The sequence below is a fragment of the Homo sapiens genome, chromosome 6 (assembly GCF_000001405.40).
Source record: "Homo sapiens chromosome 6, GRCh38.p14 Primary Assembly".
Taxonomy (NCBI): domain Eukaryota; kingdom Metazoa; phylum Chordata; class Mammalia; order Primates; family Hominidae; genus Homo; species Homo sapiens.
This window is the reverse complement of record NC_000006.12, coordinates 125027835-125052056: the sequence shown is the minus strand read 5'-3', so window position 1 is coordinate 125052056 and position 24222 is coordinate 125027835. Positions and strand designations below refer to the sequence as shown.

General features: G+C 37.1%; 1 protein-coding gene across 14 annotated transcripts in view, besides 1 other annotated feature; it reads right to left on the bottom strand.

Annotated features, from left to right (window-relative positions):
* The window catches only part of RNF217 (ring finger protein 217), a 130198-nt gene that overhangs the window by 40578 nt on the left and 65398 nt on the right, over positions 1–24222 (bottom strand). For 8 of the 14 annotated variants that reach the window (NR_136734.1, NR_104440.3, XM_011535494.3 and 5 more), the window contains one exon: positions 6613–6846. The exons of 2 other annotated variants lie outside the window; for them this stretch is intronic. Coding sequence is in view for 9 of the 12 variants with exons in the window: in XM_011535494.3 (XP_011533796.1) it covers positions 6613–6846 (234 nt within the window). In the remaining 3 variants the exon portion in view is untranslated. Of the gene's footprint in view, positions 1–3797; positions 3906–5395; positions 5451–6612; positions 6853–24222 lie in introns of those variants that run through there. 4 more of the 14 variants (XR_001743178.2, XM_047418242.1, XM_047418250.1 and 1 more) reach the window with 4 other exon arrangements.
* Positions 19947–20147: a silencer, noted in NCBI's record as "peak6103 fragment used in MPRA reporter construct". NCBI's record gives its function as "represses an SCP1 promoter by STARR-seq MPRAs in K562 erythroleukemia cells {active_cell/tissue: K562}" and the evidence as "EXISTENCE:reporter gene assay evidence [ECO:0000049][PMID:32103011]".

The following is a 24222-nucleotide window of genomic DNA, read 5'->3' as shown; positions in this document are numbered from 1 at the left end:
TTTGAAAATCACTATTTCATATCAGTCCATCTTGCTCCTACCACCTGGAAACACCTTCAGCATTTACAGACTCTTCCTGTAAATCCAGAGAGCAAAGCCCAGAGAAGCATTTGTCTGGGTCTATTTCTTGTCCGAGGACCCATTTCTTCACTGGTGAACACAAAGGGTACTGGAAAATTCTTCCCTGATTTGCATAGCCCAAAGTCCTGGCCAGAAAAATGTGGTATCATCCTGTTTTGAACAAGATGTCCTGTTCTGAACACAACAGAATCAGGATAACAGCTCACAAGAGGTACCCACATAAAGTAGCAAGAGGTCCACTGTGTTAAGTGTACATAAGGAAATGGGAATATTCTCTGTGACCAATAAGTGAAGGCAGGAGGGAAGCATACCTCAGCCTAAAGGTAACAATGAATTATTTCAAATCTGAGGTTTTTGAAAATGGAAAGGAATGATTCTATTAACAAGTTCCTTAACAAAAGCAGTGTTCAGAGTCTGCATGGCCAACTGGTAGGCATATTGTAGAGGGGATCCGTGCACTGTGTAGACAGCCCCAGTAGATTCTCTTACAAATCTAAGTAAGTAAATATGGAAAGGTAGTAGCACAGAGGGTGGTAGATAAGAAATGTAAGGTCTTCACTTCACTTCTTTCAGAATATCTTCCAGACCATTTTATAAGGAACACCACACTTGGCCTACTTTAACACACGATCTCGGGGGCCATCAGAGAGAGACGATTCTTCACTTGTTCATTGTGCTAAAGACCCAATGACAATAGGATAAAGGGAAAACAGTTCTTAGTACCAGTGCAGGTCAATTTATCCTAGCTGCAAGATTTGATTATTACTATAGTTTGTTTTTTTAGGTGAAGTGTAGGCTAAAATATCAGATAAATTCCAACATTTGGCTGTTAGAAGTTCAAGCACAAGTTAAAAACCTCTAAAAATATTGTGTCTAATTTATGCATCAAAAAAGCAAACAAAGAACAGCCTTAGCAAAACACTCCATTAGTAACTGAAGAAAGAAATGCTAACATAATTTAGTAGGCTTGCATCATAGCTGAGTGTTATATGTTTTTTCAAGGGTAATGTATGTAACACACACTTTGTTTACACTGGCGTCTATCAACAGGGCTAGACGACTTTAACTGTCTCATAAATCTATGCCAACAACAACCATTTAAGAAACTACACTTTTTTTCTATGGGCTCCTGACATGAGTGATACATTAATCCCAAGAGAAATCAGTGTGTGTTGTAAGCTACCCTAACCTTGCAGGGAAGACGCACAACTAGATTCTCCATTTGTAAACACTGTCAACTTAAAGTGATGGTGTCAGGGAAAACCAGAACAAAGCAGCATACTCATTACACGTTCATGGGAAAGCTTTACACATTCTTATATATGGGAAACAGTTCTCAAGTTATCTTTACCAGGAGGAAGGTTAAGCACGTTTTAAAGTACACCAGTTCGCAACAACCGATTGATTTGACTGTATTCTTAAAGCCCTTAGAAAATTCTTTTACCACATGAGAAAATATTTGTGTAGTGTTTATAAAATGTAATTTCTACTCAGAGGGTTTATAAGAAAGAAAAAAAGACAGCTAGAGAGATAAGGTAAGCACACAGACAGAGTTTCTCCAGGGAATTTTATTGGCTTTTTTCTTTCACCTGGGGTGAAAGATGCATCAAAAGTGCCATTGTATAAATTATCAAGATTCTGCTTAACATTTGTGGGAAGAAGAATGGGGATTATTAGTCTTGTCTGAAGAAAACCATCAAAAGAATTACCTCTAACGTGTTCTCTAACATGTTGATAAGCATGACCTTCAACTCTTTCTCCAAATCGATATGAAAAGGGGGATCATTTATTCAGTCTGCACTTGGAATAAGAATGAAACCCAGAATTGCACCTACCTCAGTAAAACCTGTATGAGTAAAATAACTACTTTTAATCCTTTACACATCTCTCCTCTCTTCCATAAAGAACTGCTATCACCTCCTCTACCTCCCAAAGAATATTTTTTTCATTTTCGTAAGTTCAATGACAATCCCCTTCACTGCCCCCAATATTGATGACTTCCACCAAATCACTCCTGAGTCATGTTTTCTGGACATCTCTTTGATGCCCTAAAGGGTCTTCAAACTTAACACTATCAACATATTTCAAACTGAACTAATTTTCCATTTCCCAAACCTGCTCCTCCTCTTCCAGACATAGTCAATTTTACCCCTCCTTTCTGCCCATTGTCCACCACTCACCCCATGTTTTCTTTCAACTATATTCTTTTTTACTCCCCCATGCCCTTCTCAATACCCAGGGTTGCTCATTCTGCTCTCTTTGCCTAATAATAATAACAATCATAATACTTTCCAGTATGTGTCATATGTGGTGCTAAGTAATTTATATGTGTGATTTCATTTAATTCTTACTACATTCTTATGACATAGGTACTATTACTATCCCCAGTTAAAGACGTGGAAACGATACTCAAGGTGACAGAGCTAGTGTGTGACAGGCTGAGAGTTTAATTCCAGTGTGAAAGCAGTGCTCTGACCTGCCTTTTCAACCTTGGTAAATCCAACACCTCAAGGCTTAATGTGTTTACTCTTAAATGAATCCTTCAACAAATATATTTTGAGTGCACCCTCTATCAGACATAGGCTTGACACAGGTTATCAGCAGTAAATGAAGTAAACTTGGACCTGGACTCCCAGAGACCAGTTAGAAAGAGAAACTTAAGGCAAATAACCACACATATATATCATAAAATCCCAGGTGATAATTGCTATGGTGAAAAGCTTTGGGTGTGGGTGATGTGTCTATCTCCAGGCATAACATAAGGACATTAGTCAAAACTTCAACATTTTTTTATTTCTCCATCATTAACTTGTTCTCTATATTGATAAGCGGTTGCTGTTGCACTGATAAATTACAGGAACTATTCAGGTTAGAAATTAGATTTCTAGTTGGAAGCTGACGTCAACCTTGTAGAAATGGAACGGTAAGCCTTTCTGGCATCATGACAAGAGTTTTAGGGAGAAGAAGACAGAAATACTATGGATGAAAAAGTGAGACTGGATTTGACAAAAGGCAAGGTTGTCTGAATGTAAATCTCTCAATTCACGAATGCACTTGTTCTATTTGATATAGTATGAGTTTGACGATGTTCAGAACATAATATAAAGCTCTATTTACTCAGATTTTTGCCAGAAGGGAATTGTTGGGTGTTGGGCCTGGAAGGACAAATGGACAGGTAAGAGTTCTAGTTACTGCTTATTCTTATATTCTTTTTACCCTTTATCCACCTGCTGAGTACAAACAATTTAACAAGTGGTCTTCACAAAAATTAAAACCCCCATATATGATATTTTAGGTCTCAAACTTCATGTGAGAAGCACTTACTCAGCTATAAAATAGCTATAATATTTTCAAACAGTTGAATTGACAGCAAAAGCCATAATAAATGTTCAAAGAATGACATCTTGGATGAAGATACTGTGAATCAATGACTCAGAATAACATTAAAATAAACATTACAAGGGTTTTATCAGTAGATACAAACCTACTTAAGCCTGTAAACATTATTATAAAGAGACGTTAAATTGCACAGAAACGTCAGACATTAGCAGCAACCTTTTTTTTTCTATTTCTGTTGCCTCATGATGCAATGTATTGTGTGTGAGTACTTGAATTCACTCCTCTTAAAGTTACCATAAATGACACCAATTTGGAACTACCTTATTTTATTAGGGAAACTGAATTTTTAAAAATACTGCAAAATAAAAAATGTTCACCTGTTCATCACAAAGAACAAAGATCTTAGTCTCAGTACAGGGTGCCATACTGTGGCCATGAATCTCACGATTGGTTGGCTGGGGTATCCATGTCAGTGCTCTCCTTACCTATAATACCCAGACAGGTATGGGCATGTAAACCAGGTAGTTAATGTTAACATAAACCACAGAGTTTAATGATGAAAAATGTTATATAAACTTTACACTAAAATAAGTAAAAATTATTGCTTCAGGAATTATTTGAATCATTGCTAGAACTTTGTACAGCATAGATCAAGGAGATTATTAACTTCTTCTGTTATCGATCTTCTCTTCTACACTAGTAAAGAAGAGTAACAAAAATAATCATCCTCAAATTCTGTGGTAGTTTTACTCTTTTGAAATTTGCTTAAGTTTCATTTTATAGTGTAATGAGATTTCCACCCCACACCCACCGCTGAGGATCTTAACTGCTTCATAATCAACATTTATGGTGTTGTTGAATTCCTCCTCACACCAAAGCAAATTTTCTTTTCCTCTACTAATCAAAAGGAATCAATTGAGTTTAATAAATTTAAGATGTTGATCTGAGGATCTTAACTGCTTCATAATCAACATTTATTGTGTTGTTGAATTCCTCCTCACACCAAAGCAAATTTTCTTTTCCTCTACTAATCAAAAGGAATCAATTGAGTTTAATAAATTTAAGATGTTGGTCCATTTGCCCCTGCTTCTCTTCTTACCTACAACAAATTGATAGACATTGGAGAAGCCTGACCTCTGGGAAATGTTATCAGAATACCATGGGCTCGCTCAAAATTACACAAATATAGAATCTTCTATTTGTCAATTTTTACATATTTCACTCTCAATACATGTGTATTGTGATACATTATGCTCATCACAACATGATTTTGGTGATTTCAGATGAAATGAGACGTAAAACATTTCACTATTGCCATAATTGTGACTTAAATTATAACTCCTTTACCCATTTCATAAAAACAACACATTTAAAAGTTACTCAGTTATTCCCACTCTAATTCAATTTTGTACATGTTTTAATTACTGCAATTTTAAAAATTAGTATAGTCTCAGTTTCTATGTATCTAAGTCCAAACATATATTAGAAAAAAATTGAATATCCTAATTTATGGAATTACGAGTCCTTCTAAAACTAGTAATTTCCTGATCTTATACAATAACATACAATTGCAATGAAAATAACTTAAAAATAATCTAAGGATATATAGCATGAAATAAAAGTATTCTATTAATGTTCAGTTAGCCTTCAACACCACTGTAGGGCAGTACTTTAGTTATACAATTTTTGTAACCTCAAAAATAATGCTTTTTATAGAAGAGAAAAATAGGATTTTTTTCTAACAGTTATACCTGATAGAGAATGGCCTGCATAAAAACAGTAAATAAATTAACTATGAGAGCCAAGCAGTTTCAAAGAACAACGACTCATGAAGAAGCTTTGACTAACCTACAATACTGTAGCTTATAACTGCAACAGCAGAGGAAACTACCTGCTAAACCATGGTCCCCTCAAAGCTACAAAATGAATAATGTAACTGCTGCTCTCAAGAAAGGGAACATGACCAGAAACTTACCTTAAATGGAGATGACTCCAAACAGCCTTTGAAACCACTTCATCCTGCCATTTTGCTGTAATGACAAGGATGAAAACTACTGCCACAGCCTCACTGGTTTTCTGCTTCATTTACTGCAAAGATTCTCTACTGTGGATTAGTCACCTGGTGAGGCTCAAAAATTTGGAAGACAATTGTTCTGGGGTGGGCCTGGGGCACTGGTGTGTCATGGAAGTTCTCGGGTGATTCTAATATACAATCAGGGCTGTGAATCAATGCTCTGCTGTCACAGTTGTTGCCTTGGTTTCAAACCAGACTTCTGTCTGGTCCTCTTGTGATAGCTTCTATGAATGCTGCCAGATGACATTTCTCTAATGCTTACAGAGTTACATCCAAACTTCTGCGCAAACTGCACAAGACTCAACATGATCTGCTCTTATCTGCCCGATCAGCTGCCTCTCCCGACTCTCCACCAGCTCTAGAAGCACTTGATTACAAGAAGCCTGGCCTTAGCCTCGGGGGCCGTGCACTTACTCATCCCTTGCTCTGAAATGCTCACCAGGTTTATCTGTCTGGAGAACTGCACCTCCTCTGTGAAGCCATTCCTGACATCCTAGAGCCTAACCCTCCTTCAAGTGTCCTCAAAGCACACTATATGTACACAGCTTTGTGTTTTTTTCTAATCATATTGGACTGTCATTTTTAGAACACATGTCTCTCCCATCTTCGACTTTTTTTGAAGCAGGGACTGTATCACATTTGCTCTATAGCCCCCAAATTTAGCACACTGCCTAGCATATACAGCATTCTGTATTTGCTGAATAAATGAATGAGTACCATTTATACTATTTTTACCTATTATAGACAGAACAAGAGGAGACTTACATTGGGACCACTGAAAAAAAAATCAAGTCCATAATAATAAAGAAAAAGCCTTAGTATTTATTTAGTATTTGGTAGTAGTAACTATTATTACTCTAAAGATCAGCCTTCCTATAAGGTTACTAGATTAATTTTCAACATGGTTAAAGTCAAAGACAAAACTGTAATTAATTCCTTAAGAGCACTCTCTTATCATCAGCCTCCCCAAACCATATGCTTTCAGAATGATGGCCAATATATGCTCACCTTCAGCTCCATAAAGGAAAGATGCCCCCTTAATGCCCACGACAAGTGGATCTAATCTGGCTGCTTCTGCCATGTGACATCTAACCCACAGCTCTGGTGAAAATGCTTACTTTGTATTTGCTTTCTGATCTGGAAGGGGTGGGAATATGTCCTTTTTTCTTGAAGGTTGTAAAGTGCTTGCACTGAGGACATGGCTTGGTGCTGGAATCAATACGGCCAAGTTCCAAGAAGTACTTATACTTGATGGAGTCTTCATGCGTTAAGTTATAGACAACAGTTGTTTCTTCCAAGAATTCAAAACACTCTGTGATGGGGCATTTGATTTCTACTTGGCCAAGTTGTACCTGCATGATGGAAGAGCAGATGGAAGGAAAAAAACGTCACTGGTTATTTTCTTTCATTTTTTTTTTTGTATACAGTATTACTTATTTCATGACCGCAATAAAGGATTGTGTGTAATTTTTAAGATAACATAATGAATGTTAATCACCTTGATACCTGCTTTAGGCAATACCAAAATAATCACTACGTAATGTTTCTGAAATGACTTATAGGGCATTTAAGTCTTCTCTGATCATTCTTTTTTGTGAAAAGAAATGGACCTAAGCCACAGGCTCACCAAAGAAGCAAATTATCATCTCATGTTTCTGGAAACTGCAGGGTTAGACAGCATTCAGATGATGCACCAACTGCAAGAACTGCGGGGTCAGGCAGCATTTAGACAACATGCCAAATAAAAGGTGTTTCACATTTTTCAACATCACTGCAGAATACTTCAGCACTAAACTCTGGGCACATTTTACTATTTTAAAAGAACAAAAGATTTTGTAATGTATAATGCCTAATAGTTTAAAAATTGTTACAAAAAATAACTGTTTCCTCTGACCCTTCTGTGTTAAGAACATAAAGTAAGTAGTTCCTATATAATGAGAATCATAGGAACAAGTAAGAAAATGAAACCAGTTACAACAATGTAAAACATCCTTATGAAATCTGGCTGCTACTGCGGTAATTTACAAAATTAATGTATTCAAAGGACTACGAAGCTAGATTAGGAGAGAAGGGAGGATACATCAAAACGCAACATTTAGCATGTGTTATGGAGTACTAGATATGTTTAGCATTAAAAATTACAATAAAAGATTAAAGCACAAAGTGTGGACACAACTAATTTTTAAATGATTAAAATAAACTACTTTGAAATAATGAGTAGCTAGAGTATTTTTCGTAAGTAGTGAACAATAACTCTTTATATTCATGGCATTACAATCTCTTTTGTCCATCCTAATGTAGTACAGGGAGGCACTAAAAACTCCAAATGACAAACAACACCAAACCCTTTCTTTTTTATTTGGGTGAATCTCACATTCTCAGAAAGCAAAACATGCGCACTTGGAGTAGAAAAGCATGCTATGAAGACTGAGGTAGGAATGGGAGAAAGCCACGCAGTTTGGGGAAAGAAAAACATCACTACAAAAAGCAATTAAAAAAAAAAACTAAATTCATAGTAACTTTTAACATTGCTATTTATCTGGCACAAACTTGAGGTAAGGTAGTTAAGAAGTTGCAGGCTGAAGGATGCATGGGGTGACATATTGAATACCAGAAAAGGACATGAGCTAAGCTGAAAGCAAAATGAAAGAGGGTGGCTTTGGATAATTCTCCTTATTAGTATTGACCTGTTAAAAGTATAAATTGTTGCATAATTTTATGCTACTACTGTACAAAACATGGCCCAGAGAGGATTTAAAAATATGTGCCCAAACACTTTTTTCTATTTTTTTGGATGAGTCTGCTCACAGTCCCAATAGATTTTATTATTCATGTTACAGTGTTACGATGCTATTATAATTCAAATTACGTTTTAGAATCAATTATTTTGTTCTGCCTCAAGACAAAACTTCTCAGGAGATTTTTGTGTAGATAAAAACCCCTGTGTAACCAACTAAGAACCTGGCTTAATGAAGTTTATAACTTAAACATTAAAAAATGATTAAATGTTTCCTCTTTTAATATTCTGTAGGCATTTATGGAGCACAATTCTGAGGCAGGTACGGGCTAGGTACTGAAGCTTTGCAGGAACATGTCAGTAAAGAGGCAATCAGGATGCAAAATGGTGAGTACAGGTTTTCAGGAGAAGTATAGTAATCTCAGACCTGGGGGGATCAGAAGAGGTTTCTTGGAAGAAGTGAGGATTCAAGTGAGAGCTTAAGACTAGCAGGATTTAGCCAAACAAAAGTGAGAAGGGGTTTCAAGCAGATGAAAGAGACAACTTGGGCAAAGGCCTGGAGGAAAGAGAACACAGCACTAGCATACCCCAATTGGATCAACTTGTATAGCACCCAAATGCACATGCATCTGAACTTAAAGATCACAGCCTTGGGACGGCTCTTAAAGATGAACAGCAGACTGGACCACAAAGTGTGAGTAAGGAAAGATGAGGCTGTAAGCAAAGATGAACCAGCTAGGACCAGAGCACAAGGGCAGAGCATGAAGCCATCTTAGGAGTCTGGATGTTTTTCTATTTAAATAGAAAACTGCAGTTTTCAGAATGTGAGAGATAGTTTCTTTCAAGTCCACAGAAAAGGGGCTTACTTGGGCCACCTCGAGAGGCACTTGTTATTGGGAAGCAGTACATTTCTGTGATTAAGAGCCTGAATTTTTTACTCTGAGGTCAGTGTTTGAATCCAGCCTTCTTCACCTATGAGTTTATTTTATTTTAACTATGTAAATGATAGCAATGGAAGCAGCAATTTCACAGCCACTCAGGAAAGGCCAGGTGTTATGGAAACTGAATGCAGTTTAGGGACGAGAGCAATCCAAGGCAGCTAAAGAGGGCAGGTTGTCTTGATACTCCTTCAGCAGTGGGTATTTGTTAATCAACCACATCGGGATACCATCCAACATCCAATCAAACACCTTCTTTTCTACTGCAGTATTTCTCAAATCTGCAAATCTATTCAATTTCCGAAGAATATATTACTTCCTCTTGCTTTCATACTCTCTGCATTGACTATTTTTTACCTTCCCTTCTTTCTCAAGGCTCCAAAATCCCTATCCTACTACACTGAACCAAAGACCTCATATTTTATTGAACACATAGAGGCAATCAGATGCATATTCCCATACCTACCCACTACCAGCTCTAGCAATTTACATCTCTGTTTTCTGTCTTCCCCCTGTAGAGGGCTGAATCTATTTCTGGAACAATGGATATGAGTCTCTTAAAGTGTCTGTTGAGCATTCCAGTTTCATGGCCCACTCAAGACCTACAGAATTGGAATCATTGTTGACAAGCCAGTAATTGGCAGTTTGGAACAGCTACTCATACAATCCTTCGATTACTCATACTTCTTCATACTAACAATATCCTCTTTTTCATAATATAGTGTTACTCATCACCTATGCAATCTCTTGGCCTCTACATGCATATCTTTTTCAGAAAATTTTCCTCAAAAGATCACTAGCAAACAACTAATTATGATTAAGTGAAGTACAGTTTTTCATGTGTTCAACAAGATATGTATTTCATCAATTCAAGAATGCATTTTAAAAGCACATTTTATTTTCTCGAAAGCCAAGTTTTTTATAATCAAAAGAAATTAGTATTGCACAATAGTTTAATTTGCAGTGTTTTTACTTTCTTGGTGGTGCATAACCGAATACTGCATCCTACAATTGATCACATCTTAGATTTCAGTGAAATGTGGTTTTTATGGGCTAGGTAGTGTGATGGACTTCTGGAAAGATAAGAGGAGAGGGAAACATGGGGTTTCTACTGGAGGAAATGAATAGTAAACAAGCAAATAAACAAGACAGATTGTAACCTGTGTTATGAATGAACTACACATCATGGAAGCAATCTCTAAGGAAATGACAACCTGAGTTGAGAACTGAAAGGCCTGTTATGCAGAGAACATGGGGAAGAGACAGCAAACAAAGGAAACAAGAACATTGGCTCCAGTCAGAAGGTGTCTGATTTGCCTCTGCTCAGAGCACACAACTCAGTGACAAAAATATATACTAAAGGAGGGAGAGAACAGTATGAGATGAAGTTGGAGAGTTAGGCAGAAGACAGATCACATGGGCCTTGTTGGCCATGGTAAAAAGTCTGTATTATATAAAGACAATACAAATCACTGGTTTTATGAGGAGGACTGACATGCTCTTCTTGGAGAACAGACTGCAGAGGAATAAAAGTGAAGGTTGGGAGAATTCTGGAAGTCTGGATTCAATGGCTCTTCCCACAAGTGATGTCTAGCTGTTACAGGCAGTAGATGATAGATGACTGAGAGGTAACAAGATACAGGGTGTATTTTGGAAGTGGAATCAATGAGATTTTTTTAAATTGACAAAAATTTTATGTATTTATGGTATACAACATGATGTTTTAATATATATGTACAGATCAATATATATTAATCAAGCTAATTAATAAATGCATTGCTTCACTGCTCATTTTCAACAGAAGTCAGAACAAAGATCATTAATAGGAGTGGTGAGAGAGAGCATCCTTGTCTTGTGCCAGTTTTCAAAGGGAATGTTTCCAGCTTTTGTCCATTCAGTATGATATTGGCTATGGGTTTGTCATAAACAGCTCTTATTATTTTGAGATATATTCCATCAATACCTAATTTATTGAGAGTTAACATGAAGGAATGTTGAATTTTATCGAAGGCCTTTTCTGCATCTATTGAGATAATCATGTAGTTTTTGTCACTGATTCTGTTTATGTGATTATGATTACATAATGTTTATTGATTTGCATATGTTGAATCAGTCTTGCATCCCAGGGATGAAGCCGACTTGATCGTGGTGGATAAGCTTTTTGATGTGCTGCTGGATTTGGTTTGCCAGTATTTTATTGATGATTTTCGCTTCAATGTTCATGAGGGATTTTGGCCTGAAGTTTTCTTTTTTTGTTGTATCTCTGCCAGGTTTTGGAATCAGGATGATGCTGGCATCATAAAATGAGTTACGGAGGAGTCCCTCCTTTTCAATTGTTTGGAATAGTTTCAGAAGGAATGATATTAGCTCCTCTGTACCTCTGGTAGAATTCAGCAGTGAATCCATCTGGTCCTGGGCATTTTTTGGGTGGTAGGCTATTAATTACTGCCTCAATTTCAGAACTTGTTATTGGTCTATTCAGGGATTCAACTTCTTCCTGGTTTAGTCTTGGGAGGGTGTATGTGTCCAGGGATTTATCCATTTCTTCTAGATTTTCTGGTTTATTTGTGTAGAGGTGTTATAGTATTCTCTGATGGTAGTTTCTATTGCTGTGGGATCCGTGGTGATATCCCCATTATCATTTTTATTGTGTCTATTTGATTCTCCTCTATTTTCTTCTTTATTAGTCTAGCTAGTGGTCTATCTATTTTGTTAATTTTTTCAAAAACACAGCTCCTGGATTCATTGATTTTTTTGAAGGTTTTTTCATGTCTCTATCTCCTTCAATTCTGCTCTGATCTTAGTTATTTTTTGTCTTCTGTTAGCTTTTGAATTTGTTTGCTCTTGCTTCTCTACAGTTGTGATGTTAGGGTGTTGATTTCAGATCTTTCCAGCTTTCTGATGTGGGCATTTAGTGCTCTAAATTTCCCTCTTAACATTGCTTTAGCTGTGTCCCAGAGATTCTGGTATGTTGTCTCTTTGTCCTTACTGGTTTCAAAGAACTTCTTCATTTCTGCCTTAATTTCGTTATTTACCCAGGAGTCATTCAGGAGCAGGTTGTTCAATTTCTATGTGGTTGTGTGGTTTTGAGTGAGTTTCTTAATCCTAAATTTTAATTTGATTGCACTGTAGTCTGAGAGACTGTCTGTTATGATTTCAGTTCTTTTGCATTTGCTGAGGAGTGTTTTACTTCCATTTATGTGGTTGATTTTAGAATAAGTGCCATGTGGCACTGAGACAAACGTATATTCTGTTAATTTAGGGTGGAGAGTTCTGTAGATGTCTATTAGGTCTACTTGATCCAGAGCTGAGTTCAAGTCCTCAATGTCCTTGTTAATTTTGTCTTGTTGATCTGTCTAATATTGAAAATGTGGTGTTAAAGTCTCCCATTATTATTGTGTGAGAGTCTAAGTCTCTTTGTAGGTCTCTAAGAACTCGTTTTATGAATCTGGGTGCTCCTGTATTGGGTGCATATATATTTAGGACAGTTAGCTCTTCTTGTTGTGTTGATCCCTTTACCACTATGTAATGCCCTTCTTTGTCTTTTTTGATCTTTGTTGGTTTAAGGTCTGTTTAATCAGAGACTAGGATTGCAACCCTTGCTTCGGTACATGTATCCTGGAACTTAAAGTAAAATTTTTTTAAAAAAGAAAAAAAAATGTGGTACATATGCACCATGGAATACTATGCAGCCATAAAAAGGAATGAGGCCATGTCCTTTACAGGGACATGGATGGAGCTGGAAGCTATTATCCTCAGCAAACTAAAGCAGGAACAGAAAACCAAACATCACATGTTCTCACTTACAAGTGGGAGTTGAACAACAAGAACACATGGACACAGCAGGGATGGGGGCAGGCGGGAACAACACACACTGTGGCTTGTCAGGGGATGGGGTGGAGGGAGGGAGAGCATTAGGAGAAACAGCTAATGCATGTGGGGCTTAGTACCCAGGTGATGGGTTGATAGTTGCAGCAAACCACCATGGCACACGTTTACCTATGCAACAAACCTACACATCCTGCATATGTATCACAGAACTTAAAAATTAAATTAGAAAAAAAGATCATTAATACACCCAAAAAAACTCATACCAAGCTCCTAACAATAGGATAGGTGATAGAAAAAGTCCATAGTATAAAGTGAATTAAGCCGTGAATCCTGCCTTCATAGACCTTGAGAATGTAGCAATTAAATTGGCATTGATAGTCTTCTAGCAAATTGGGATTTGTTGGTATTAATTCATTTAATATTTACCCAATAGTTTAAAAAACTTTTTATTAGGGATAATTAAAGTATATGTGAAGGTTGGCAGATGGGTATTATGAATCCTTAAATAGCCATCCTCTAGCTTACATTGTCAACTTAGAGCCAATCTTATTTCTTCTATACCCTGAATAATATGGCCCTCCCATGTTATTTTGAAGAAAATACCAGATATCATGTCATTTCATTCATAAATATTTCAGTATGGGGCTAAAAAATTAAGAAGTCTTTTTAAAACCATAACCATGATACCATATATCTACAAAAATGTCAATTTTTTAGTATCAAGTTAACATTCTAAATAACATGTCATCTAACTTCTGTTTACTGGATTTTATCTACTTAATGTACTTAAAGATATTTTGCTGCTCCGTGTGTAAAATGCTAATACAACTATTTATATCACTGAAAAAGATGCTGTTCAGTTTTTCTGAACAAAAACATTTCCATGCTTGAAAGGAAAAAATTGCTTAACTCTAAAGGAATCTACAAGGCATCATTAAGAGACACTATTATCCACTTAACGTTCAAGCTACATGGCTAATTTGCCACCTGGGAGAACTCAAAAGTAATTTAATGACTCAGGTGATGAAGACCTCTGGAAAAGTGGCAGACTAATTAATTAAACTCTCCAAAGAAAAGGACGGGAAAAAGTACAAATCTCAGGCCTCATTGCTCAATTTATCAAATGTGTAGTTTATGACTCTGATCATGGTTGTAAGTGTTGGTCATGATAGTTTACAAGGTGCTTTGGATTTTGCTCACTTGATACTAGGGAATTTCATATTTCCTCTGTTTTGAAAAATGGAAATATGTTAATATGGCAGAGAGAAGAGAATATTGCAACGAAAGCAGTAACAATAATCACAAAATATACATAGATCTACTACAAGCAAAGCACAGCTCCAGGTAGTTTGTGTGGATTAATTACTTTGAGGTGCACCATCAGGGCAGATTGATTTCAGACTCACTGATGTCCGCCTCACTTTACTCATCAGTGATTATGGGAAGGTGCCTGCTCTACTGACACATACGGTTTTTTGTTTACTCAGCAGCAACTACAGGGCTTAGTGCTAGATGCCTTTGAATTTTTCTAAAAATGATTTAAAAAATCAAGCCAAAAATTCCAGAAATCTCTTGACTCTAAGCAAGATAAATACAGTACAAAGAAAACATTTAAGTACATCAAGTAAAAGTGATCAATACCAAACACACAGTAACAAGAAGCAACCAGAGAAAAAGGCATATTCCCAAGTAGAAAACTTCAGCCTCAAGTGCCTTGCTGGTAGTTTGTTGTTTAAAAGCTACTCCGTTTCTGGTATTTTGATACAACAGCCTGAATAGACTAATACTCTTGATCTAGAAAAATAAAGTTGTAAAACTTTTTCTGCCAGAAATAAGACTGATCATAGAGCTATAGGAATTACATTAGTGTGACAGTGGCACAAGGATAGATAATAGAACAATGGAACAGAAAAGAGAATAGAACAATACCACTTCCATATGAACACTACAGGGCAGTGGGCAGGACTTTTTTTTTTTTTCAATAAATTGTGCTGTTGGTTTAATATCCATTAAAAAAATCAGTCTTGAAGAATCGCCACCCTGTCTTTCACAATGGTTGAACTAATTTACACTCCCACCAACAGTGTAAAAGCATTCCTATTTCTCCACTTCCTCTCCATCTGTTATTTCCTGCTTTATAATAAATAATAAATAATATATAATAAATATAATAAATAATAAATAATAAAAGCATCTGTTATTTCCTGGCTTTTTAATCGCCATTCTAAGTGGCATGAGATGGTATCTCATTGTGGTTTTGATTTGCATTTCTCTAATGACCAGCGATGATGAGCATTTTTTCATGTTTGTTAGCTGCATAAATGTTTTCTTTTGAGAAGTGTCTGTTCATATCCTTCATCCACTTTTTGATGTTTTTTTTCTTGTAAATATGTTTACGTTACTTGTAGATTCTGGATATTAGCCCCTTGTCAGATGGATAGATTGCAAAAATTTTCTCCCACTCTGTAGGCTGCCTGTTCACTCTGATGATAGTTTCTTTTGCTGTGCAGAAGCTCTTTAGTTTAATTAGATCCCATTTGTCAACTTTGGCTTTTGTTGCGATTCCTTTTGGATCTGGAACCAGGAATACCATTTGACCCAGAAATCCCATTACTGGGTATATACCCAAAGGATTATAAATCATTCTACTATAAAGACACATGCACACGTATGTTTATTGCAGCACTATTCACAATAGCAAAGACTTGGAACCAACCCAAATGCCCATCAATGATAGACTGGATAAAGAAAATGTGGCATATATACAGCATAGAATACTATGCAGCCATAAAAAAGAATGAGTTCACGTCCTTTGCAGGGACATGGATGAAGCTGGAAACCATCATTCTCAGCAAACTAACACAGGAACAGTAAACCAAACACTGCATGTTCTCACTCATAAGTGGGAGTCGAACGATTAGAACACACGGACACAGGGAGGGGAACATCACACACCGAGGCCTGTCAGGGGGTAGGGGGCAAGGGGAGGGATAGCATTAGGAGAAATAACTATCGCATGCGGGGCTTAAAGCCTAGATGACGGGTTGATGGGTGCAGCAAACCACCATGGCACATGTATACCTATGTAACAATCCTGCACATTCTGCACATGTATCCCAGAACTTAAAATATAATAAAATAAATAAATAAAAGTAAAATTGAAAAAAAAAACTTCAACAGATGAGGAGCTGCAAACAAACAAACAAAAACAAAAAAACCCACAAATAAGTCTTGACTTTTAACTCAAACCAGGTAGACTGTAACTGTAAATATAAAAGGCGAATGAAAAAGCTTCTAAAGATAATCAAAAAGAACATCTTCATGACCTTGGGAAAGAGTAAGATTTCTTACACATGACATTAAAAAACCATAACATTTTGATAAACTGGATTGATTATAATTTAAATCTTTGTTTACCAATTAATATTTTTAAGAGAGAAGAAATGCAAACAAAAGTGTGAGAAGAGATTTGGAACACATGAATGACAAGTTTTGTATATCCAGAACATATAAAGAACTCCAAAGCAATGAGAAACATGCAGACAACAAACCCATAAGAAAAATAGTCTGTAAAGTATTTTATTTCTCCTTCACTTATGAAGCTTAGTTTGGCTGGATATGAAATTCTGGGTTGAAAATTCTTTTCTTTAAGAATGTTGAATATTGGCCCCCACTCTCTTCTGGCTTGTAGAGTTTCTGCCGAGAGAGAGCTATCTATGACAAACCCACAGCCAATATCATACTGAATGGGCAAAAACTGGAAGCATTCCCTTTGAAAACTGGCACAAGACAGGGATGCCCTCTCTCACCACTCCTATTCAACATAGTGTTGGAAGTTCTGGCCAGGGCAATTAGGCAGGAGAAGGAAATAAAGGGTATTCAACTAGGAAAAGAGGAAGTCAAATTGTCCCTGTTTGCAGATGACATCATTGTATATCTAGAAAACCCCATTGTCTCTGCCCAAAATCTCCTTAAGCTGATAAGCAACTTCAGCAAAGTCTCAGGATACAAAATCAATGTACAAAAATCACAAGCATTCTTATACACCAATAACAGACAAACAGAGAGCCAAATCATGAGTGAACTCCCATTCACAATTGCTTCAAAGAGAATAAAATATTTAGGAATCCAACTTACAAGGGATGTGAAGGACCTCTTCAAGGAGAACTACAAACCACTGCTCAATGAAATAAAAGAGGATACAAACAAATGGAAGAACATTCCATGCTCATGGGTAGGAAGAATCAATATCGTGAAAATGGCCATACTGCCCAAGGTAATTTATAGATTCAGTTGCCATCCCCATCAAGCTACCAATGACTTTCTTCACAGAATTGGAAAAAACTACTTTAAAGTTCATATGGAACCAAAAAAGAGCCTGCATCGCCAAGCCAATCCTAAGCCAAAAGAACAAAGCTGGAGGCATCACGCTACCTGACTTCAAACTATACTACAAGGCTACAGTAACCAAAACAGCATGGTACTGGTACCAAAACAGAGATATAGATCAATGGAACAGAACAGAGCCCTCAGAAATAATGTCGCATATCTACAACTATCTGATCTTTGACAAACCTGACAAAAACAAGCAATGGGGAAAGGATTCCCTATTTAATAAATGGTGCTGGGAAAACTGGCTAGCCATATGGAGAAAGCTGAAACTGGATCCCTTCCTTACACCTTATACAAAAATTAATTCAAGATGAATGAAAGACTTAAATGTTAGACCTAAAACCATAAAAACCCTAGAACAAAACCTAGGCATTACCATTCAGGACATAGGCATGGGCAAAGACTTCATGTCTAAAACACCAAAAGCAATGGCAACAAAAGAAAAAATTGACAAATGGGCTCCAATTAAACTAAAGAGCTTCTGCACAGCAAAAGAAACTACCATCAGAATGAATAGGCAACCTACAAAATGGGAGAAAATTTTCGCAACCTACTCATCTGACAAAGGGCTAATATCCAGAATCTACAATGAACTCAAACAAATTTACAAGAAAAAAACAAACAACCCCATCAAAAAGTGGGCAAAGGATATGAACAGACACTTCTCAAAAGAAGACATTTATGCAGCCAAAAGACACATGAAAAAATGCTCATCATCACTGGCCATCAGAGAAATGCAAATCAAAACCACAATGAGATACCATCTCACACCACTTAGAATGGCAATCATTAAAAAGTCAGGAAACAACAGGTGCTGGAGAGGATGTGGAGAAATAGGAACACTTTTACACAGTTGGTGGGACTGTAAACTAGTTCAACCATTGTGGAAGTCAGTGTGGCGATTCCTCAGGGATCTTGAACTAGAAATACCATTTGACCCAGCCATCCCATTACTGGGTATATACCCAAAGGACTATAAATCATGCTGCTATAAAGACACATGCACACATATGTTTATTGCGGCACTATTCACAGTAGCAAAGACTTGGAACCAACCCAAATGTCCAACAATGATAGACTGGATTAAGAAAATGTGGCACATATACACCATGGAATACTATGCAGCCATAAAAAATGATGAGTTCATGTCCTTTGTAGGGACATGGATGAAATTGGAAATCATCATTCTCAGTAAACTATCACAAGGACAAAAAACCAAACACCGCATGTTCTCACTCATAGATGGGAACTGAACAATGAGAATACATGGATACAGGAAGGGGAACATCACACTCTGGGGACTGTTGTGGGGTGGGGGGAGGGGGGAGGGATAGCATTAGGAGATATACCTAATGCTAAATGACGAGTTAATGGGTGCAGCACACCAGCATGGCACATGTATACATATGTAACTAACCTGCACATTGTGCACATGTACCCTAAAACTTAAGTATAAAAAAAAAAAAAGAACACAGAATCTGTAGGCAAACAGATCTTAGTTGAAATCCAAACTCTGAAATGTATTAATTATATGGCCTTGGATATATTGAAAAAAGAAAAAAAAAGAAAAATAGTCGAGACTTTATGGGTACTTCACAAAAGACAATGTCCAAATGGCCAGTGAGCATATGAAAATGTATTCAACTTCATAAGTCATCAGGGAAAAGTACAATAAAACCACACTCACGTGTAATTTGGAAAGAGTTATCATAGTACTTAAAGGTTCCCCAAAACAATGTTTAATATTACAGTTAAAATAATAACTGTACAATTAATGAGATATTAATGTTTCATGAAACCAGTCCAAATGTACTTTTCTACAATCATCTTTTTTACATTACTTAAACTTTTCTTCCCTCCTTACTATCTGAATGTTCGTGCTCCCTTATCCTCTTATGCAAATTTTTAAATTTTTAATTCAGTTTTTAAAATAAGCTCAAAAATGATCATAGTTCATAAACCAAAAAGTATAAAGTAGACATACAATTATCTCTTACAACTGTCCTCTTTTCTCCATTCACCCCACAAAATGGTTGTCGTTTCCTTCCAGAAACTTTTAAAGTATATACATGAAATACAAATATACATATTTTGTCCTTTTTTAACTTAAATATTTAACCCAAATGTTAGCAAATAATATTCACCTAGCTTTCTTTACTTGACAAAATATTCTGGAGATAAGAAATATATATATATATTTATATATTTGGCATAAGTGTTTCCTAACTATGGTAGATATTAGATGCAGAACTGACAGTAAAACCAAATCTTTGCATTGGTCTTGACAATAAGACAGATTATTAAGAATTATGGGTATGGAGTTCTACCTATCAAAATTGAATTAGGAATTTTAAGTTTGTTTCTGAATACATTTGCTAGTCTCAGTTTCTATCCCATATCTTTGCACTAATGAATTATGGGTTTTCTCCTAACCCTCTTTACTGTGTAGTGGAGAAAGCAGCTGATATGGTTTGGCTGTGTCCCCACCCAAATCTCAACTTGAATTGTATTTCTCAGAATTCCTACTTGTGGGAGGGACCCAGGGGGAGGTAACTGAATCATGGGGGGCCGGTCTTTCCCATGCTATTCTTGTGATAATGAATAAGTCTCACGAGATCTGATGGGTTTCCACTTTTGCATCTTCCTCATTTTCTCTTGCTGCTGCCATGTAAGGAGTGCCTTTCACCTCCCACCATGATTCTGAGGCCTCCCCAGACATGCGGAACTGTAAGTCCAATTAAACCTCTTTTTCTTCCCAGTCTTGTGTATGTCTTTGTCAAAAGTGTGAAAATGGACTAATACAGTAAATTGGTACCAGTAGAGTGGGGCATTGCTGAAAAGATACCCGAAAATGTGGAACCAACTTTGGAACTAGGTAACAGGCAGAGGTTGGAACAGCTTGGAGGGCTCAGAAGAAGATAGGAAAATGTGGGAAAGTTTGGAACTTCCTAGAGACTAGCTGAATGGCTTTAATGAAAATGCTTATAGTGATATGAACAAGAAGGTCCAGGCTGAGGTGGTCTCAGATGGAGATGAGAAACTTGTTGGGAATTAGAGCAAAGGTGACTCTCATTATGATTCAGTGAAGAAACTGGCAGCTTTTTGCCCCTGCCCTAGAGATTTGTGGAACTGAAACTTTGAACTTGAGAGAGATGATTTAGAGTATCTGATGAAAAAAATTTCTAAGCAGCAAAGCATTTAAGAGTTGACTTGGGTGTTGTTAAAAGCATTCAGTTTTAAAAGGGAAACAGCGTAAATGTTTGGAAAATTTGAAGCCTGACAATGTGATAGAAAAGAAAAACCCATTTTCTACAGAAAAATTCAAGCCAGCTGCAGAAATTCACATACACAGCAAGAAGCCTAATGTTAATCCCCAAGATCATGAGTAAAATATCTCCAGGCCATGTCAGAGGCCTTCATCGCAGCTCCTAGCATCACAGGCCTGGAGGCGCTGGAGGAAAAAGTGGTTTCGTGGGCTGGGCCCACAGTCCCCAGGGTGTGTGCAGCTGAGGGACTTGGTGCCCTGTGTCCCAGCTGCTCCAGCCATGGCTGAAAGAGGCCAACATACAGCTCGGGCTGTGGCTTCAGAGGGTGGAAGCTCCAAACCTTGACAGCTTCCATGTGGTGTTCCGCGTGCATGTGCAAAGAAGTCAAGAACTGAGGTTTGGAAACCTCCACCTACATTTCAGAAGATGTAGGGAAACGCCCGGATGCCCAGGCAAAAGTGTGCTGCAGGGGCAGGGCCCTCATGTAGAACCTCTGCTAGGGCAGTGCGGGAGGAAAATGTGGGGTCGGAGACCCTACACAGTGTCCCTATTGGGGCACCGTCTAGTGGAGCTGCAAGAAGAGGGCCACTGTCCTCCAGACCCCAGAATGGTACATCCACCGACAGCTTGCACCGTGTGCCTGGAAAAGCCGCAGACACTCAATGCCAGCCCATGAAAACAGCCAGGAGGGAGACTGTACCCTGCAAAGCCACAGATGCAGAACTGCCCAAGACCATGGGAACCCACCTCTTGCATCAGCGTGACCTGGATATGAGACCTGGAATCAAAGGAGATCATTTTGGAACTTTAAAATTGGACTGCCCTACTGGATTTTGGACTTGCATGGGCGCTCTAAACCCTTTGTTTTGGCCTTTTGGCCAATAGCTCCCATTTGGAATGACTGTATTTACCCAATACCTGTATTCCCATTGTATCTAGGAAGTAACTAGCTTGCTTTTGATTTTACAGACTCTTAGGAGGAAGGGAGTTGCCTTGTCTCAGATGGGATTTTGGACTGTGGACTTTTGGGTTAATGCTGAAATGAGTTAAGACTTTGGGGGACTGTTGGGAAGGCATGACTGTTTTTGAAATGTGAGGACATGAGATTTAGAGGGGCCAGGGGCAGAATGATATGGTTTGGCTGTGCCCCCACTGAAATCTCAACCTGAATTGTATCTCTCAGAATTCCTACGTGTTGTGGGAGGGACCCAGGGGGAGGTAACTAAATCATGGAGGCTGGTCTTTCTCATGCTATTCTTGTGATAGTGAATAAGTCTCACAAGATCTGATGGGTTTATCAGGGGTTTCTGCTTTTGCTTCTTCTTCATTTTCTCTTGCTGCTGCCATGTAAGAAATGCCTTTCACCTCCCGCCATGATTCTGAGGCCTCCCCAGCCACGTGTAACTCTTAAGTCCAATTATACCTCTTTTTCTTCCCAGTCTCAGGTATGTCTTTGTCAGCAGCATGAAAACGGAGTAACAAAGCAGCTATGTCCCAAGTAAACTAAGCCCTATGGGAATCCCACCCTACACAGTGCTGTCGTCATCTCAGCTAATTCACAGATAGCAATGTTCCTTTTATGTAGCTGATTTCAAAAATTTTTTTTTATTCCAAAACTTTTCATCTTCAAAACTACTTAACAGATATAATGACAAGATCATTTCTTATGATAATAACTGCAAACCTGGAGGTAATCAACGTTTGACACTTTAAAAAATGCACGTTCTACATTTTTACCAACAACATTTACACTTCTCCCCCCTACAGAGTTTGGTCTTTCAAAATTGGCAAGTATCAATGCCTTCTTAGATGTTAAACCAAGTTAACATAGTTCTTTAACAGAAACTTCAACGGAGCCTTTTCATGCCAAAACAAAGTATCTTTGTGCACCATCCACCCAGTTCTACGAATGGTCTGTTCATTACCTGGAGTTTTTAGATTCAATAAAGAAAGAAATAATTTCCTCCTTCCTGGCTTCTATTCATTACTTCCAAATATAAAATGCTGTTTAGTGTAGAGGAACCATATTTTCCTTTATATCCCCCAGGAACTAAATCAAAGTGTATTTGAATATGAAAAAATAAAAGAATATATATGTTTTTAAAAAGCTGTCTTTGCTTTTGATGTTTAATACCTTCAAAATAGGGAGAAAACAAACTCATTCTAGGGGTATAAGTGTCTCTTAAAAATATTACTGGATTAGAGAGGTGTCCAAAAAAGACTTCCATGCTGAAAGAATATACTCCAAACTCTTACTGCAAAGTTTGTAATTAGGTTGAAAAGGGATTGGAATATTCAGTTTTAAATGTCTTGTTATTGAAAATACATTTTAGAGAATCCTGTTCTGCTTCAACTGAGCTTTCTAATTTCTTTGGGTAATTTCAATACAGTTAAAACTTCTTGATTTTGTTATTGGTCAACCAGGTAAATATTTTCTCACATGTTACAACTGAGATAGATCAAATATGAAGTTTGATTGAAATAATTCACTTAAGAAAACTAGCTAAGATAAAATATATAAAAAGGCAGTAAGACAGCACATCAGAAGACTTACATAAGCAGTAAAAAAAGCCCAGTGGAACACATCACAGTAATTTAACACAGTAAATAATAAGTAAAACTAAAAAAAAAACCTTATTTTAAAAAGCTCTTACACCATTCTCTTTTAAGTGAAACACAGGTACAAGTGTAAAAAGAGAATAATTGCATAATTTAAGCATTTTCATATAGTGCAATTTTGCATCAGTTATTATTTCCAGTTTTATTTTATGCTCTTTCCACTTTTTAAAACTGAATTATAATACATTTTGCCATAATATATATTCTAGAAACATATTTCTTTTGGAACTACACTAAATATATACAGTGAGAAACTCAGTGTAGTTCCAAAAGAAATTTTGCACTATATTCATTCAGTATAGTTCCAAAATATACACTGTATACACTATATACACTCAGTGTAGTTCCAAAAGAAATATATAATAGCCTAATAAAAAATGGGCAAAAGATTTGAATAGACATTTCTCAAAAGAAGACCTACAAATGGCAAACAGGCATATGAAAAGGTGCTCCTATCTTGGGGTCCTCAAATTATCTTTGTGTGTTGTTCACCTGTGCATTGTTGGGAGTACATACTCCCAGATTTTGTCATATATTTAAAGGGGTACTGAACCAAAAAAGGGGGATTAAGATAAACTAACAAACTATATCTGGCATTAAGAATAGGACACACAGGCAACCAAAGCAAACCTGGACAAATGGGATCACATTAAGTTAAAAAGCTTCTACACAGCAAAGATATAACCAACAAAGTGAAGAGACAACCCACAGAATGGGAGAAAGTATTTTCAAACTACTCCTCTGATAAGAAATTAATCACCAGAATATATAAGGAGTCCAAACAACCCTACAGGAAAAAATCTAATAATCTGATTAAAAAATGGGCAATGATTTGAATAAATGGTGAACAGGCATATGAAAAGATGCTCAACATCACTGATGTCAGAGAAATGCAAATCAAAACTACAAGAGATACCGTCTCACCCCAGTTAAAACAGCTTGTAT